Source organism: Homo sapiens, chromosome 7 (assembly GCF_000001405.40).
Source record: "Homo sapiens chromosome 7, GRCh38.p14 Primary Assembly".
In the NCBI taxonomy this organism is placed as follows: domain Eukaryota; kingdom Metazoa; phylum Chordata; class Mammalia; order Primates; family Hominidae; genus Homo; species Homo sapiens.
In genome coordinates this window covers 112,277,716-112,293,681 of record NC_000007.14, presented here as the reverse complement: position 1 = coordinate 112,293,681, position 15,966 = coordinate 112,277,716, and the positions used below count along the sequence as shown (strand labels likewise).

At 38.5% G+C, this 15,966-nt stretch overlaps 1 protein-coding gene and 1 pseudogene across 3 annotated transcripts in view; both read right to left on the bottom strand.

Moving 5' to 3' along the window:
- ZNF277 (zinc finger protein 277) overlaps positions 1 to 15,966 on the bottom strand; it is a 137,240-nt gene that overhangs the window by 50,253 nt on the left and 71,021 nt on the right. For 2 of the 3 annotated variants that reach the window (XM_011515768.4, XM_017011720.3), the window contains exon 2: positions 6,608 to 6,805. In XM_011515768.4, the coding sequence (XP_011514070.1) occupies positions 6,608 to 6,666 (59 nt within the window). In that variant the 5' untranslated portion in view covers positions 6,667 to 6,805. Of the gene's footprint in view, positions 1 to 6,607; positions 6,810 to 15,966 lie in introns of all 3 variants that reach the window. The other variant, NM_021994.3, reaches the window with a different exon arrangement.
- Positions 4,731 to 5,057, bottom strand: RN7SKP187 (RN7SK pseudogene 187; annotated as a pseudogene).

The window sequence follows — 15,966 nt, the reverse complement described above, 5'->3', positions numbered from 1 at the left end:
GTATCTGTGTGAAACCATGTGGAACAGATGACCAGGCAAGAGCTTGGATCCTCGTGAACAGACTGCTCTTTGAATTATTAATGACTTTTTTTTTTTTTTTTTGAGATAAGATCTGGCTCTATTGCCCAGGCTGGAGTGCAGTGGAGTGATCTCAGCTCTCTGCAACCTCTGCCTCCTGGGCTGAAGACATCCTCCCCACCTCAGCCTCCCGAGTAGCTGGGACTATAGGCACGCACCACCATGCCCAACTAATTTTCCTATTTTTTTTGTAGAGATGGGGTTTTGCCATGTTGCCCAGGCTAGTCTTGAACTTGTGAGCTCAAGCAATCTGCCCGTCTTGGACTCCCAAAGTGCTGGGATTACAGGTGAGAGCCACTGTGCCTGGCCAATGACTTTTTTTTAAATGGACAATCAATATTGTCCCTTGCTTATCTGCACAGATCTTATGCTAGAAGCAGTTTTGCTTTTTAAATTAAGACAGTGGTCAAAGTATCATAGTTAATGTATTAATTACCACCCCGGAGGCAATGGTGAATAGAGAAGCAAGGACTTTGAATTCAAAGGTATGAACCTGAACTTAAAGTTATTTAATCTTTCTGAAACTCAGTTTATTCATGTGCAAAATAAATTGTTGATAATTAAATAGAATAATGCATGTAAAGCACGCTGTCCAAAATTCTGGGTGTTTAATATATATGACAGTTATTACTATAAGAAAAAGTAACATATTTAAATAAGACTAAGGTAGTGAATAATTTATATTTATCCCAGGGAAATAATGAGACACACAACAAAAACAACAACAACATTTCAGCAAACATTTGATGAAAAAGACAAAATAGTTATATTAATAGCGTCAGAGGGCACATATAGGTGGCTAAAGTGGTAGAAGAGAAGAATGATGATAGTGACAATAATGACAATTATTAGCAGCTACCATTTAATGAGTCCTTACTTGCCCAAGGTCAATTAAAATGTTAGAATTGAGATGTGAACTTTGTCTCTCTGGCTCCAAGGCCAAACTCAATCTTCTACAACACAGTTCCTCTAGTGTCATGTGGGGACGAATCGGTACAAGAAATGCAGAAAAGGGAAGGCAGGGACAGGAAAGAGCCCCTATAATTAAAGTTGTAATAGAGAGTTGAAGCATTTTTTTCCCCTCAGAGACCAATGAGGTCACATAGAATGCTTTTTGACAAGGCAGAACCAGAAGTACAGAAATGAAGTCTGAAGAGGAAGAGAATGTTTTCCCCTTCCGAAAGGCATACTACTTAACAGTAGCCCTCAGTCTGAACTGCTCCTAAGTTGCTACCTAAGGGCTGAAAATTGACACCAACTGTTTGGGGCTGTTTTGGAACTGCTTAACTAGGCAAGGAAAGGGTGCAGAGAAGTTCCACTACAGAGGTAACAGGAGCCTGATTCCAATAGTCAGTGGGTCTCAGTTTCCAAAAACTTCTATGTTTGAGTACTGTCTCTTTGATGTCTGAAGAGAAGAATCACATGACATGCTTACTTTCCATCAGAGTTTACTTCAAGGTGATATGCACATGGGAAGAAATTACTGACATCAATTAACTTAGAATCATGGGGAGATTCTGCCTGGCAGAACCTCGGTTGCCCTCCTCAAATAGGAAGTGTTTCCCATGGGATAAAGCAGGTAATAGGTTGGTCCAAGAGGAACAAAGTTGTCATTTGAGTGTTCTCTTCCTAACCAAAACTTGGGTGACAACAACATCAAAGAAAAAAAAATCATCTGTTACAAAGCAAAATATAACCATAAACCATCATACAACTTAAACATATAAAATTAGGCATCATATCTTACTGTGGTATACTATAGACAACAACAACAACATACATTTGACCTATGTCTAAATTTGAGTAAAGAAACATCCTAGTTATTAAACACATAATAGTGGTTTTTAAGCTTATAATTAAGAGGTGTCAATATATACATTTCCTTTCGGATGGTATGGGCATTCAGATAAATTGTAATCAACTGAGTGATAGAATAAAGATAGCAGATCTTCAGTACATGCTTCTTGTGGCATTTTTTCCCACTCACTAGAACACTGTTCAAATTTAAGAGCTCATTTAGTACTTCTCTTCTGTATTTTTCCTACTTCTCTAGTTTACTGAAAGCTACAATTGCAGCTACTCAATATATAAAGGCCACTAAGAAATAACATGTGGTAGGAACTCTATTTGGATGAGTTATCAAAGTATTTCATACTTCATTAAAAATCTATAAAAGTAATTACTAGGTCATCAGCAAATACTTTTTTTCTTCCAAAGGAACTTCAAATCATGTCTCACAGAATTGTCTCACAAAAAATCCTTGTTGCAATATCTTGCCTGCCCACCCTCACTGTAATTGGTATGGTTATTGACATAGTCATAAAGGTTTGAAATATGGTTGTTAATTAAGTAGCAGTGAATGTGTGGAATTTAATATAGAAAAGGGTAAGAAATAAGAAGTTAACATTTATTTTCCAGAGCAATTTTATCTACTGAATAAAGCTAGCAAATAGCTCAGTATAAATAACTATGTTAAATGGACTCAATGGAAAGATTTTTATTTTTGTTTTTATTTCTCCTGCCCCAGGAAGTTTTAGTGTTATTTTGTTTCATAAAAAATTATATATTTAGTATGAAAACTTATAGCTTACTTCTTGTAAACCACAAGGTAAGTCCATCTCTTATTTATTATCATCTTCATTATCTATTGTACTCAGAAGCAACAATTCCTCTTGAGTTCTGAGTGAATGTGTTCATGCCAAATAAATCTCTCATGTTCCCTCCTCCCAACCCTACACCTTATACCTTGTCTTCTAAAATTAGAAACAAGTTACATGATGTTGAAAAGATTCCAACTTAACTTTGATCATAACAATCAATACCTGGATTGTTTGGGAGAGGAATTTTTAGTTTCCTTAAGTAGTAGGAGGTTATTATCTAAAGAAGACTGGATACAGTCAAAGGTATTTAAAAGCAACAGAGTTTACTCAGATACATGCCTGATCAATCAGAATTAATCACATTTATACTTGCTGAGAGTGAAAATTTTACTTAATTAGAAGGACAGTTGACAAGGAAAATCTAGGTTTCCATATTTCAAATACATGTTAAAGATACACTTTAGAAAGCACTTATATCAGATATGCATCCTTTTCTTTTTAATTAAAGCATCCATTTTATTGTATATCTGCATTTAGAGCATGAATAATCCCAGCATTTAATTACTGACTCCTAAGTCCCGAGACCTAGTAAATAATTCAATTTTTCTGCCCACGTATGCATATTAGGATAATGAGATTAATAACAATGATACAAATAGAGAGATTGATTAGTACAAATATAGCTACTTAACTATGACACATAAGCACAAAGGAGAATACAAACTCTGATTCAGACATTCCTCACATACTTTACGGGCAGAGGAGAAAGAAAAATCTTAAACTATTCAATTATCACTGGTAGTTAATACTGTTCTTCTGCAATTCCTGAAGGAAAATTTGTGTTTATATGATAAAAGGGAATAAAAGAACAGTTTCATGGCTAGGCACGGTGGCTCACACCTGTAATCCCAACACTTCAGGAGGCCGAGGTGGGTGGATTGCTTGAGCCCAGGAGTTCTAGACCAGCCTGGGCAACATGGTGAAACCATAAAAATTTAAAAACATAAAAAATTAGGTGCAGCGCACCAGCATGGCACATGTATACGTGTGTAACTAACCTGCACAATGTGCACATGTACCCTAAAACTTAAAGTATAAGAAAAAAAAAAAATTAGCCAGGCGTAGTGGTGCATGCCTGTAGTCCCAGCTACTTGGGGAGGCTGAGGTGGAAGGATTGCTTGAGCCAGGGAGGTGGAGGTTGTACTGAGCCAAGGTCGTGCCACTGCACTCCAGCCAGGACTCAAAAAGAAAAATAAAGGTTTCATATTAAAGAAAAGCTGACTAATAGAAGCCTTAGGAAAGAATAACCTATGTAGTATTTCTTTCAATGGTTGAGTATGAATTAGAAGATCTCTAGCCTAAGAAGTGTCTGAAACAAAATCAACAGATCTCACCACATATAACTGGGTTGCATATAAGAAAGCTCCCAGAATACTCTGAGAATAAAGACATACACACACATATATTTTAATGAGAATAAAGAATAACAAATGATAATGAGGAGCAGAGAGTATGTCCTATGAGAGCATGTAGGGAATTAGTTTATTTTAGCAGTTGGCAATATATATCATTCAATTAACTGTCCTCCTATCTCTGAGACCTGATAAGGCAGCACCAAAATCTCTTGAAAAATAGTAGTGCTGAGTCGATATAAGGCAACATACACAGAAGGCACATGGTAAATATTCAGTATTGGTGCTAGGCAATAAGGACAGAGATGAAGGCTAGAGAATAGTTATCATTACCCCTGTGGGTATGCTGGCTATTCCAACTTAAACTATCTTTCCAAAAATTTAGATTATTTAGAAACTTGAATGAAATTTTCTCAAAAGCTATATTTTACAAATGATAATTAGGTTTTTAGATTAGCATAAATACAAATGGAAAACTCAAACGATAGCTGCAGAAAACTAAGATTTCAAATATACCTTCGGTGATAAAAATACAAATAAAATTTTGCATTTTATCTACCATTTATCAGGTACACATGTCTCAGGCACTAGCAGATGCTACACATACTCTTCTTTTTTTTTTTTTTTTTTTTTTTTTTTTAAGAAAGGCAGACTGCCACATGCAGCACTTCATTTGGATGTGTCTGGAATCTTGGAAGCTTGACTACCCTATGTTCTCCTACAAATGGACTTGAGAGCTTGTCTGGAGGTTCCAGCAGGGAAGCGCAGCTACTCGTATACCCTTGACCAAAGACTGGTCCTCTTCTAGTGGAGATGGTTGTCCTCTTTGACTGAGAACACAGCTTTGGGAGGCATGAACATGGAGTGGTGAGGGAGGAAGGGGACAGCCACTTAGCCAGCCAGATCAGCCGAATCAACCCTGGCGATTAATGGGGTGACAGATGTCACAGCCAGATCGCCCTCACATTCCATACTTTGTTTTATGTAATATTCAATAACCATGAGGGCTGGTGTTACCCCCATTTTATAGATGAGAAAATCAATGCTTAGAGTAGTTAGGTAGCTTGGCAGGAAATCACAAGATTAGGAAGTGTGAAAGCCTGCACTCAACCCCAGGCTTTCCTACTTTCATAGTCAGCTCTTAATAATACAGCTTGCTCTTTTGCAAGACCTATCATAAGAAAGAAGCTGTTTGCTAGGAATGTTTTATATGGCCTGGGAGAAACAGAGTTTAGATGCAGGGGTATTCAATGTCTGGGCTACTACAATGTTTTATGGGGAAATCAGGACAGAATACCTCAAAATGGGACCTTACCAGATACACCAAATTTTATGCTTTCAGTAACTATACAGGGAAGGTATTTCTCTTGGACAACTACTTCCAGAAATTATAAATTGGGAAAAAAGGAATCAACCTCATCACAACATTTAAACTGAGATTTGTTTGGGCAATATCCTTTTGGCTTGAAAGTCTCCAAGGATCCCATTCCCAAACACTGCCTTTTGAGTGTCCTGTTGCCAAGTCTATTCTGGAATTACTGGAAGGACCCACTCAGAGAATGTCTATGGCCTAAAACATGAGACATAATCTGGGAGACATCAATAAGATCTACAATGTCATGGAATGCTGCAAAGTGAGTATTATCTACTCTTTGGAAAGTTCATCTCTTTAGAGAACTTATAGAAAATAAATTAGTATGTGACATTCTCAAACTTACAGACTCAAGAAAAATAATGTAAAGATTTTTTTAAAGTCTGAGAAGTTGGCTGGGTGCAGTGGCTCATGCCTGTAATCCCAGCACTGTGGGAGGCTGAGGTGGGCAGATCACCTGAGCTCAGGAGTTCGAGACAGGCCTGGCCAACATGGTGAAACCCCATCTCTACTAAGAATACAAAAATTAGCTGGGCGTGGTGGCAGGTGCCTGTAATCCCAGCTACTCAGGAGGCTGAGGCAGGAGAATCGCTTGAACATGGGAGGCAGAAGTTGCAACAAGCTGAGATCGTGCCACTGCACTCCAGCCTGGGTGACAATAGCAAAACTCCATCTCAAAAAAAAAAAAAAAGTCTCAGAAGTACAAAAGAGTTGTAAAGTTTTTTTTTTTAAGTCTAAGGAGAAACCTGAAAATGAATATGAATTTTCATATTTGTATGGGAATTATTTTATATATAGATTATGTCACTCCTTTAACAAACAATACATTTAATTCTCTTTCTTAAGAGACAGGGTCTCATTCTGTCACCCAGGCTGGAGTGCAATGGTATAACCATAACTCACTGCAGCCTCGAACTCATGGGTGCAAGCAGCCCTCCTGCCTCAACCTCCCAAGTAGCTGGAACTACAGGTGCATGCCATTGATCCTAGATAATTTTTAAATTTTGTTTTTAGAGCTGGCATCTTGAACTACTACTGGCCTCGGGTGATCCTCCCACTTTGGCCTCCCAAAGTACTAGGATTACAGACATGAGCCACCACACATGGTCAAATTTAATTCTTTTAAGGACAAAAACAGAACTTACCTTTGGAAATCAGCAACCAACTTGACATCAGCTATGACAATCTTATGCTCAATAATCATGTGCTTCAGAAGTTTGTCTTGTTCAGCCACAGGAAAATGTTCTTCACAGAAAATACAAGGCACAGATGGAGAACCTTCTAAAGTGGTGGTGCCACCTGGACTTTCTGGCAGGGAAAGCGGCTCCAGGATACAATCCTTACTGTCTGGAATAGACCAAAAAAAAAAAAAAAAAAAGAAAGAAAGAAAAGCTGAAACCAACTCTTCATATGGATGATTTCCCACCTCCTGCATTAAAAAGATCCTAAAGATATTTACATGTCTCCAAAAAGAAAAATACATAGTGCTGGAGAGTAGGATACTTTATTATCATTTTAAACAGTGTTTGTAGCCCAGAGGCAGGGAGTATTGCAAAGCAGCTCAAACCCCTCATTTGCTTGCTTGAATGGGGGAAACCCATTTGTCAGGGCAGCTGTTCAAGCCTTCTTCTTGGACACTGGCCAATGGCAGCAATTCCCGGGGTACTTGCAAGGGGGAAGGCTGCAACACTCTGGGTTAAGGTTCTAAGGCTCAATTGTGACCTATGGCTAAGAATCATCACACCAAGGGAATAAATGGTATACATTAAGGCGACAGATGATGCCAGGCCTGTCTGTTAAGTTGCTTCCTGTCGCATCTGCAAACTCTTTCCTGTTTCTGATTATTTGTCACAAACAAGAACAAAGCTCTCACGCTGGGTAGACACAGTATGTGCTGGGTGGCCCTCATGGCAATTTTCTATGTTGACTTATGTTTATCATTTGCCTATTACACAAGTATGCATTACAATTCAGGCTTCTGTGAACAAATAGATGACTGCTCGATCACTAGACATATGTGATGTGGTAAACATTTTTCCTGGCTATATTATTCCTCTTCCTAACATCTTCTACAGCATCTTTAAGAGCTGAAGTATGTGTAAAGTCTATGTCTCTCATTTCAGAGCCTAAAACCACAGCCAGTCGTGACAGTAGCCCCCTTTAGTCTGCCAGAGTGGACGTCTACACCTGTCACCTTATACAGGCTATTTAGTAGTTAGTAATCAGGAAACTGGGGTAAAGAAACTAGGGTAAGGCCTCTGGCATTTGCAGAAAGTCAGGCAACCTTCAGAAAGAAGAGAACCTTCTTCAGAAAGAAAGACACAAAAACTAAGCCACAGACAAGTTTTCAGAATTAGGTTAATATTAGTTCTCCCGTTAAAGTTTCCTATTTTTTTCCCTTACTTTATCTTCTTTTTAAAGGTTTTCTTAATTTATGAATTAATTGAATCAGTCACTGGTACACTGGTGACCATGGCTTGAGAATTATGTAAGTGCGGTGGCTCACATCTGTAATCCCAGAGCTTTGGGAGGCCGAGGTGGGCGGATCATGAGGTTAGGAGTTTGAGACCAGCCTGGCCAACATGGTAAAACCCCGTCTCTACTAAAAATACAAAAAATTAGCCAAGTGTGGTAGTGTGTGCCTGTCATCCCAACTACTCGGGAGGCTGAGGCAGGAGACTTGCTTGAACCTGGGAAGTGAAGGTTGCAGTAAGCTGAGATGGCGCCACTGCACTCTAGCCTGGGTGACAGGGCTAGACATCATTCCAAAAAAAAAAAAAAAAAATTTCCTATTTTTTTTTTCTTACTTTATCTTCTTTTTAAAGGCATTCTTAATTTATGAATTAATTGAATCAGTCACTGGTACACTGGTGACCATGGCTTAAGAATTATGTAAGTGTGGTGGCTCAAGCCTGTAATCCCAGCACTTTGGGAGGCAGAGGCGGGCAGATCACAAGGTCAAGAGATCAAGACCATCCTGGCCAGCATGGTGAAACCGTGTCTCTACTAAAAAAATACAAAAATAAGCTGGGCGTGGTGGTGCACACCTGTAGTCCTAGCTACTTGGGAGGCTGAGGTAGGAGAATTGCTTGAACCCAGGTGGTGGAGGTTTCAGTGAGCAGAGATCATGCCACTGCACTCCAGCCTGGTGACAGAGCGTGACTCTGTCTCAAAAAGAAAAAAAAGAAATTATATAAGCAATGTAAGAGGGCAGCATTCATTCATTCACTTAACAAAAATCAACTGACTATCTACAGGGATGTTCGATGTTGCATGATGTTCAGTGCTACCAAGGTTAAAGTGCTCACAGTCTGTTTGAAGGTACAAGTAAGTTAAAAATATAAAGAAATGGAGAATGTACAGGGTTTACAGCAGCAGCGGTTGGGGGAGTCACTTAACTGAGCTGGAGAAGGAAGGTGTCCCATAGAAGAGGGTCTCTAATACATCACCCAAACATACTCTAGTCACATTAAAGTATGCTAAATCAAACTGTTTATTTTTGTTCACAAAATTAATATCAGAGAAGGTGAAAACACATAGGATATACATGACAGTACGGAGAATATTTAAAATACATAAGCCCTTTAGAAGCACTATTAACAAAACTGGTGTTATCAATTACTATATTTATTAAATTAGGTAATGAAATCAAGGAGTTCTGGAATTCTACAGTTCTTCAGTTGTAGGTTATATTTTTTAGTAGTAGGTTAACTTTCATAGGCATTTAAACTCAAATGTGAAAAACAGAATGGAGGAAGAGAGATAAGTAATATACTTATGAAACTCTATGATAGTATTTTACATCCACTAGTATATAGCTACAAAAGGCAGCATATTCTAAATAAAGGTAACATTAGTAATTATTACCTGCCATGTAGGAAATAACAAGTACTATATTACATCCTTTCCACAGATTTAATTGAGATATACAGAAATTTATTGGTTTGACTGCTGAAAACAAGCCTATGGTATTAATAATAATCAACAGCACAACTAACATTTATCAGCTACTTGCTATTTGCAAATTACCTGCAAGGTGTGTTAGGACATTTTCCTAATTAATTCTAACTATCTTATTCAGTAGTACTACCATAATCCAATCTTCCAGATGAGAGAATCAAGATTTAGAAAACTTAACTAAGTTCCCAAAGTCACAATGTTAGTCAGTAGCCTAAACATTCTGAGTTGAGCCTAAACTCAAACACTATGCTGTTCTGCTCCCTGTACCAAATGGCATTTCTCCAACTGTTTCTTCTTTAGTATGTATATTTGGTGCTGTGAAGTTATATATATACATTTATAAGCTACTTTGTCTTTATATGTACTCTGACAATGTCCTCCAGTCTCCCTAATACCCCATAGCAATTCTTATGCAAATATCAGTAGCCCACATTGTCCAAAAATCACTAGAGTACAGTTCATCTCCATAATTTTCTTTATTTTTTCCCAAGGTTTTATTGCAGTCTATTATTCCTCTGTGGTTCACTTGTTTTTCCCTTTTGTATGTCTAATGCTCAGTTTCTCTTTTTTCAAATTGTTCCTAAGAGAATGGACCTAAATATTCACACATATGAGAACCAAACTGCCTGTGGTTACTGCAAAGGTCTAGAAACAAAATCATGAATATGCAAATTTCATGCAAGAGAAACTTGTGGTTTGCGAGGTATTAAGTTGTATTTGGGGGCTTGAGTTAGTATGTAACAGAGTCTCACTCTGTTGCCCAGGCTAGAGTGCAGGGGCACAATCTCAGCTCACTGCAACCTCCGCCTCCCAGGTTCAAGCGAGTCTCCTGTGTCAGCCTTCCGAGTAGCTGGGATTACAGGTGCCTGCCACTACACCCTGCTAATTTTTGTATTTTCAGTAGAGACCAGGTTTCGCTGGCCTGGCTGGTCTCCAATTCCTGACCTTAAGTGAGCCTCCTGCCTTGGCCTCCCAAAGTGCTGGGATTATAGGCGTTAGCCACGGCACCCAGCCAGAAAATAAGTTTTAATATAACATTTTTAGATAAGAAGATTTTAAAGTTTTCTCTGATTCCCAAATGATTTTTTGGCACCTTGCTCAAAATTATAACAGCATTGATCATATGGAGTAATTTGTTTATCTCTTCATCTTCTTTGCCCCACTTCAGGCTGTTAGCCCTTAGAAGGCAAAGTAAGTCCTAGTTGTCTTTATTTACCTGGCATGTACACTGAATTAACCTGCTACCCCACTATGACTAATATAATCATTGTGTATTTATTTTGTGCCAGGCATTGTTAACTTCACATGTACAGTATTAACTCAATTAACCCTCACAATAACCCTATGAAGGAGATTCCACTTCCATCTCTGTTTTACAGATGAAGGAACTGAGGGGGTGAGAGGTGAAATGACCTGCCTGCAGCTATCAAGTGATGAAGCCAGGGTTTGAATCCAACCAGTCTTGCTTACACTTTAGCACTCTTAACTAATACATAAGAGTTTAGATCTTTTCCTATAGGAAGTAAAGCCACTTATGTTCTAAACTGATATGAGAATGGACTGGAAAGAGGAAGGTCTCAATCTAGGGAGACCAGGTGGGAAACTACTGCAGTGTCTAAGCCTGAGGGCTTGTCTGAGGCAGCAGCAATAGCAGTGGATAGAGGAGAGGAGAGGGATAGAGGTTAAATGTACAGTTCTTGATTACTGACTGGCTACAGGGAGTTAAGGCGAAGCCTCCCATGTTCCTGGCTGGGGAGATAGCACAAAATGAAGTGCCAGTCACTAGTCAAGGAATACATGTAGAAAAGCAGGTTTTGTTTGTTTTATGGCAGGGAAGGATAATAAATTATATTTTAAATGTACTCACTTGAGCTGTTCAGAAGTTAGACATTCCTCTTATGTCCGATACATAAGGGCAGCACAGACTGGTGTCTTATGTGATGCATTTGTACTATTCTGTCTTCCAGGCCCTTCTCCAGGTTCTCCTGTGGGCTTGGCCCACCCCATCTCTCCATGCCCAACAAGAGCAAATATCTCTGTTGTAATTAATTATTTATGTGTATACCTCTATTACTGTGCTAGTCTGTGAACTCCTTAAGGTCAAGGACTAAGTCTTATGTATTTTCATGTAGCTGGTGTGGTGGCTCATGCCTGTAATCCCAGCACTTTGGGAGGCCAAGGTAGGCAGATCGCAAGGTCAGGAGTTTGAGACCACCCTGGCCAACACGGTGAAACCCCGTCTCTACTGAAAATACAAAAATTAGCAGGGCGTGGTGGCACAGGCCTGTAATCCCAGCTACTCGGGAGACTGAGGCAGGAGAACTGCTTGAACCCAGGAGGTGGAGGTTGCAGTGAGCCAACATCATGCCATTGCACTCCAGCCTGGGTGACAGAGCAAGACTCCATCTTGAAAGAAAAAAATAAATAAAAATAAATAAAAAAGAATCCAGTGGCCTGGAATAGCTGAAATAGCTATCGAATGGCTGGTATTTGATAAATATCTGCTGAATGAAGACATAAAAGAATGAATAATGGACCGAAGGTACTCAGTTTCTAGGAAAGTCCTGTTTCAGGGAACACCTGTGGCTGTCTTTAGGGGAACTTTCTCTGCCTGAGATTGTGCGTAGTCCAACTATATTTACAGCCAGATGTTTAGTGCTATGGGCCTTGGCGTAACAGGCCCACTAGTAAATAATAAGCAATGATGTAAAAATTACATTGAATTCTAAGATAACAATAAATATTGCTGAGAGTAATAAAAGTATGTTATATTAAATTAGAAATTTTTAAATTATTTTTTCACTCTTCATGTAAGTATACTCCCCAGTAAGCAAGGAACAAGTGGCATTTGGAATTCAGAGTAAGTAATACCACTCTACCAGAGGATGTTTATATGAGATAGACCTGAATCCTGAATACATTTTAGCTTAGAGCAGTGGTTTCCAAATTTGAGTTTTATCACCTGGAGAGCTTTTTAAAAAATACTGACTTCAAGACCTTACTGTAGACTTAGAAAATGTAATTTTTACCAAGCCGTAGTCCCTAGACCACTGCCTGGAAATCAGTGGTTCAGAGGATGATCACACGAGGATTGTGAATATCCTGATCATATAACAGTGTGGGTATTTTAAACCTAAGGAAAAGCCCATAAATTAGGTGACATGGCCTTGCGGCAAGGCTTATCTGACAGTCTATTCTGTCCAACAGAGAGTCTCTAAATTACTAAGCACTGGAGAGCAGACATAATTCAGTAAGATTTGTCTGACAGATTACTTCCAGCTGTCACTACAAGTGTCACATTTATATCTTACTCCATGGTAAAAGACAATAGGGGCTGGGCGCGGTGGCTCATGCCTGTAATCCCAGCACTTTGGGAGGCTGAGGTGGGCGCATTACTTGAGGTCAGGAGATCAAGACTAGCCTGGGCAACACGGTGAAACCCCATCTCCACTACAAACACAAAAAAATTAGCCGGGCGTGGTGGCTGGCACCTGTAGTCCCCACTACTCGGGAGGCTGAGGCAGGAGAATTGCTTGAACCCGGGGAGCAGAAGTTGCAGTGAGCTGAGATCGTGCCACTGCACTCCAGTCTGGGTGACAGAGTGAGACTTGGTCTCAAAAAAAAAAAAGACAATAGATACAGAAATATATAATCCTCTGCCACAGGGACCTTGAACCCTAAAATACAAAAGGAAGTAAATCACGTCTATCCTTTCTCCTTTTAGCAAAGAGGCAAACATCTTGGAAATTCTGCTTTGGCCCTAAATCCACTTTGCACATGTGTTACACATTAACAACAAATTATCTGCTCTAGTTCTCACTTTGAACAGCAACTCTGTTCAAATGAACTGTAAAAAAACACCATTCCAAGGAAGTTGAATTTTTTAGGAGATTCTATGCTGATTATTAACATTTTTATTGATTCTGGGGAAGACCCTCAAAGTGTCAAATTATTATTCTAGGGAAGCGCTTCTCATACTTCTTCAATGTGCACATAAATCACTTGTAGGTTTTGTTAAAATGCAGATCCTGATTCAGTAGGTGTAATGGCCATGGAAACGTGCCATTCAAAGCTCCTGTTGCCATGAGCATAATTGACAAGAGGACCTCAGGTGTGGTGCCCTGAAATCCCATTTGCACTGAAGCTAAGCCTCCCACACGCTGCTCTGAGTCAACAAAAAGGGATTTATATCCAGCATGCAGTTGACCCTCAAAGAACACGAATTTGAACTATGCACATCCAGGAAATAAATTACACAGGAATTTATTTCAATAGAAGTTTACACCTAGTGTGCCCATCTCTCCTGCATCCCCTTCCACTTTGTCCATATCTTCAGCCTCAGCCACACCTGAAACAGCACAACCAATCCATCCTTCTCCTTAGCCTACTCAAGTGGAAGACAATGAGGATAAAGACCTTTATGACGATCCACTTCCACTTCTTGAGTAGTAAATATATTTTCTCTTATGTTTTTTAAAAATATTTCTTTTTTCTAGCTTATTTTATAGTTAGAAATGCCGTATATAATATATATACAAAATACGTGTGAATTGACTGTTATGTTCTGGTCAACAGTAGGCTCCTTACCTTTTAAGGGAGTAAAAAGTTATACACAAGATTTTCGACTAGGCAGGGAGCTGGTGACCCTAATCCCTGAATTGTTCAAGGGTCAGCTGTATATTAAAAACTCATACAACTCAGTAGCATAAAACCCAAATAAACCAAATTAAAAAATAAGCAAAGGACTGGAATACACATTTCTTCAAAGAAGACATACGAACATCCAACAGGTATATGAAAAGGTGCTAATCACCAGGGAAAGGGAAATCAAAACCACAATGAGATATCATCTCGTACCTCCTAAGATGGCTATTACTAAAAAAAACCCAGAAAATCACATGTGTTGGCAAGGATGTAGATACATTGATAACCTTGTGTACTGTTGGTGGGAATGTAAAGTGATGCACCTTATGCTATCAAAACCAATTCGGAGGTTCTTCAAAAAATTAAAAATAGAACTATCATATGAGCCAGCCACCCCACTTCTGGTTATTTATCCAAAAGAATTGAAAACAAGATCTCAAAGAAATATTTGTACTTTTATATTCATTGAAGCATTACTCAGAATAGCCAAGAGGCAGAAATAATAGATGTATAGACAAAGAAAATGTAGTATTTAAATACAATGAATAGTATTCAGCCTTTTTTAAAAGGAATGAACCTTGAAGATATTATAAGAGAAATAAGCCAGTCACAGAAGGAAAACGAACTACACGATTCTACTTATATGAGGTATGTAGTCAAACTTACTGAAGCAGAAAGTAGAATGGTGGTTGCCAGGGCTGGGGAAAGTGGGGAAAAGGGGAATTACTGTTTAATGAGTATGGAATTTCAGTAATGGAAGATGAAAAAGTTCTAGAGATCTGTTGTACAATAATGTACATATACTTAATAGTAGTGTACATTAAAAAATTTGTGAAGAGGATAGATTTCATGTTATGTATTTTTTTTAACCATAATTTTAAAAAATGGAGAGCAGGAGAGAAAAGTCAAGGCTGGAGGAATTATGGTCCCATTACTTCCCATTAACCAACCCTGACCAAGTTATTTAACCTTTCTTAGCCTGTTTCCACAACATAAAATGAATTAATCAAAATATCCACCTGATAGAGTGTTCCACCCGACAGAGTTGTTCTAAGTGTTAAACAAAGAAATTAATGTAAAGCACATGAGTGTCTGACACACATGGTCAATTATAGGTTAGTTCCTATCACTAATCCTGGTAATAAGGAGAATGGTTTTATGTTTGAGGATGAAGAGAGATGGGCATCATATGCACTGATATCTATTAGCAATTCCTATGGATTAATTAAAAATAAACACTCTAGGGCCCCAACACAGATTTAAAGAATTAAATCACATAAGAGTGAAGCCGAGGTTAGGTTGGTGCAAAAGTAATTGCTGTTTTTGCCATCACTTTCAATAAAACAGAATAAGCCTACTTCCCAAATATCTACTATTAGGTCCTGACTATACTGTTGAAATTCTAAGGCTTTTGCATTCTGTTCATCACTTTGTTATTTCTGCAGAACATTAAATTAAGAGACAAGGGAGAAAACACAAGGAAATTTTTGATACAGACATAAGGAAAAGTGAAGGGATTTATATTGATAGCCTCAGTTTTCTGAGAATATGAGATAAGCTCTGTTCATATTGAAGACAAAGGTTAAAAAAAGGGGAAAAGATTTGGAACTACCACTATGGAGAATGCAATCTTTTGGAGACAAAAGATAAAAAACAAATGATCCTATGGCAGTCCTGAAGGCCTAGCTAAGTTAGCCTGCTGCCTTACTTTTAGTCAAACATATGTTTTAGCAATAGATTTGTATTTGGTGCCTAAAAGAGACTGATATTTTTACAATATCTATTCTGGGTTTTCAAACTATGTAGTTTTATATAAACACATATAGGTAAATAAATATAATGATAAGACAAATAGGCTATTTTAAAATCATCTAACCTGATGCTGCTCAACATAACTTTC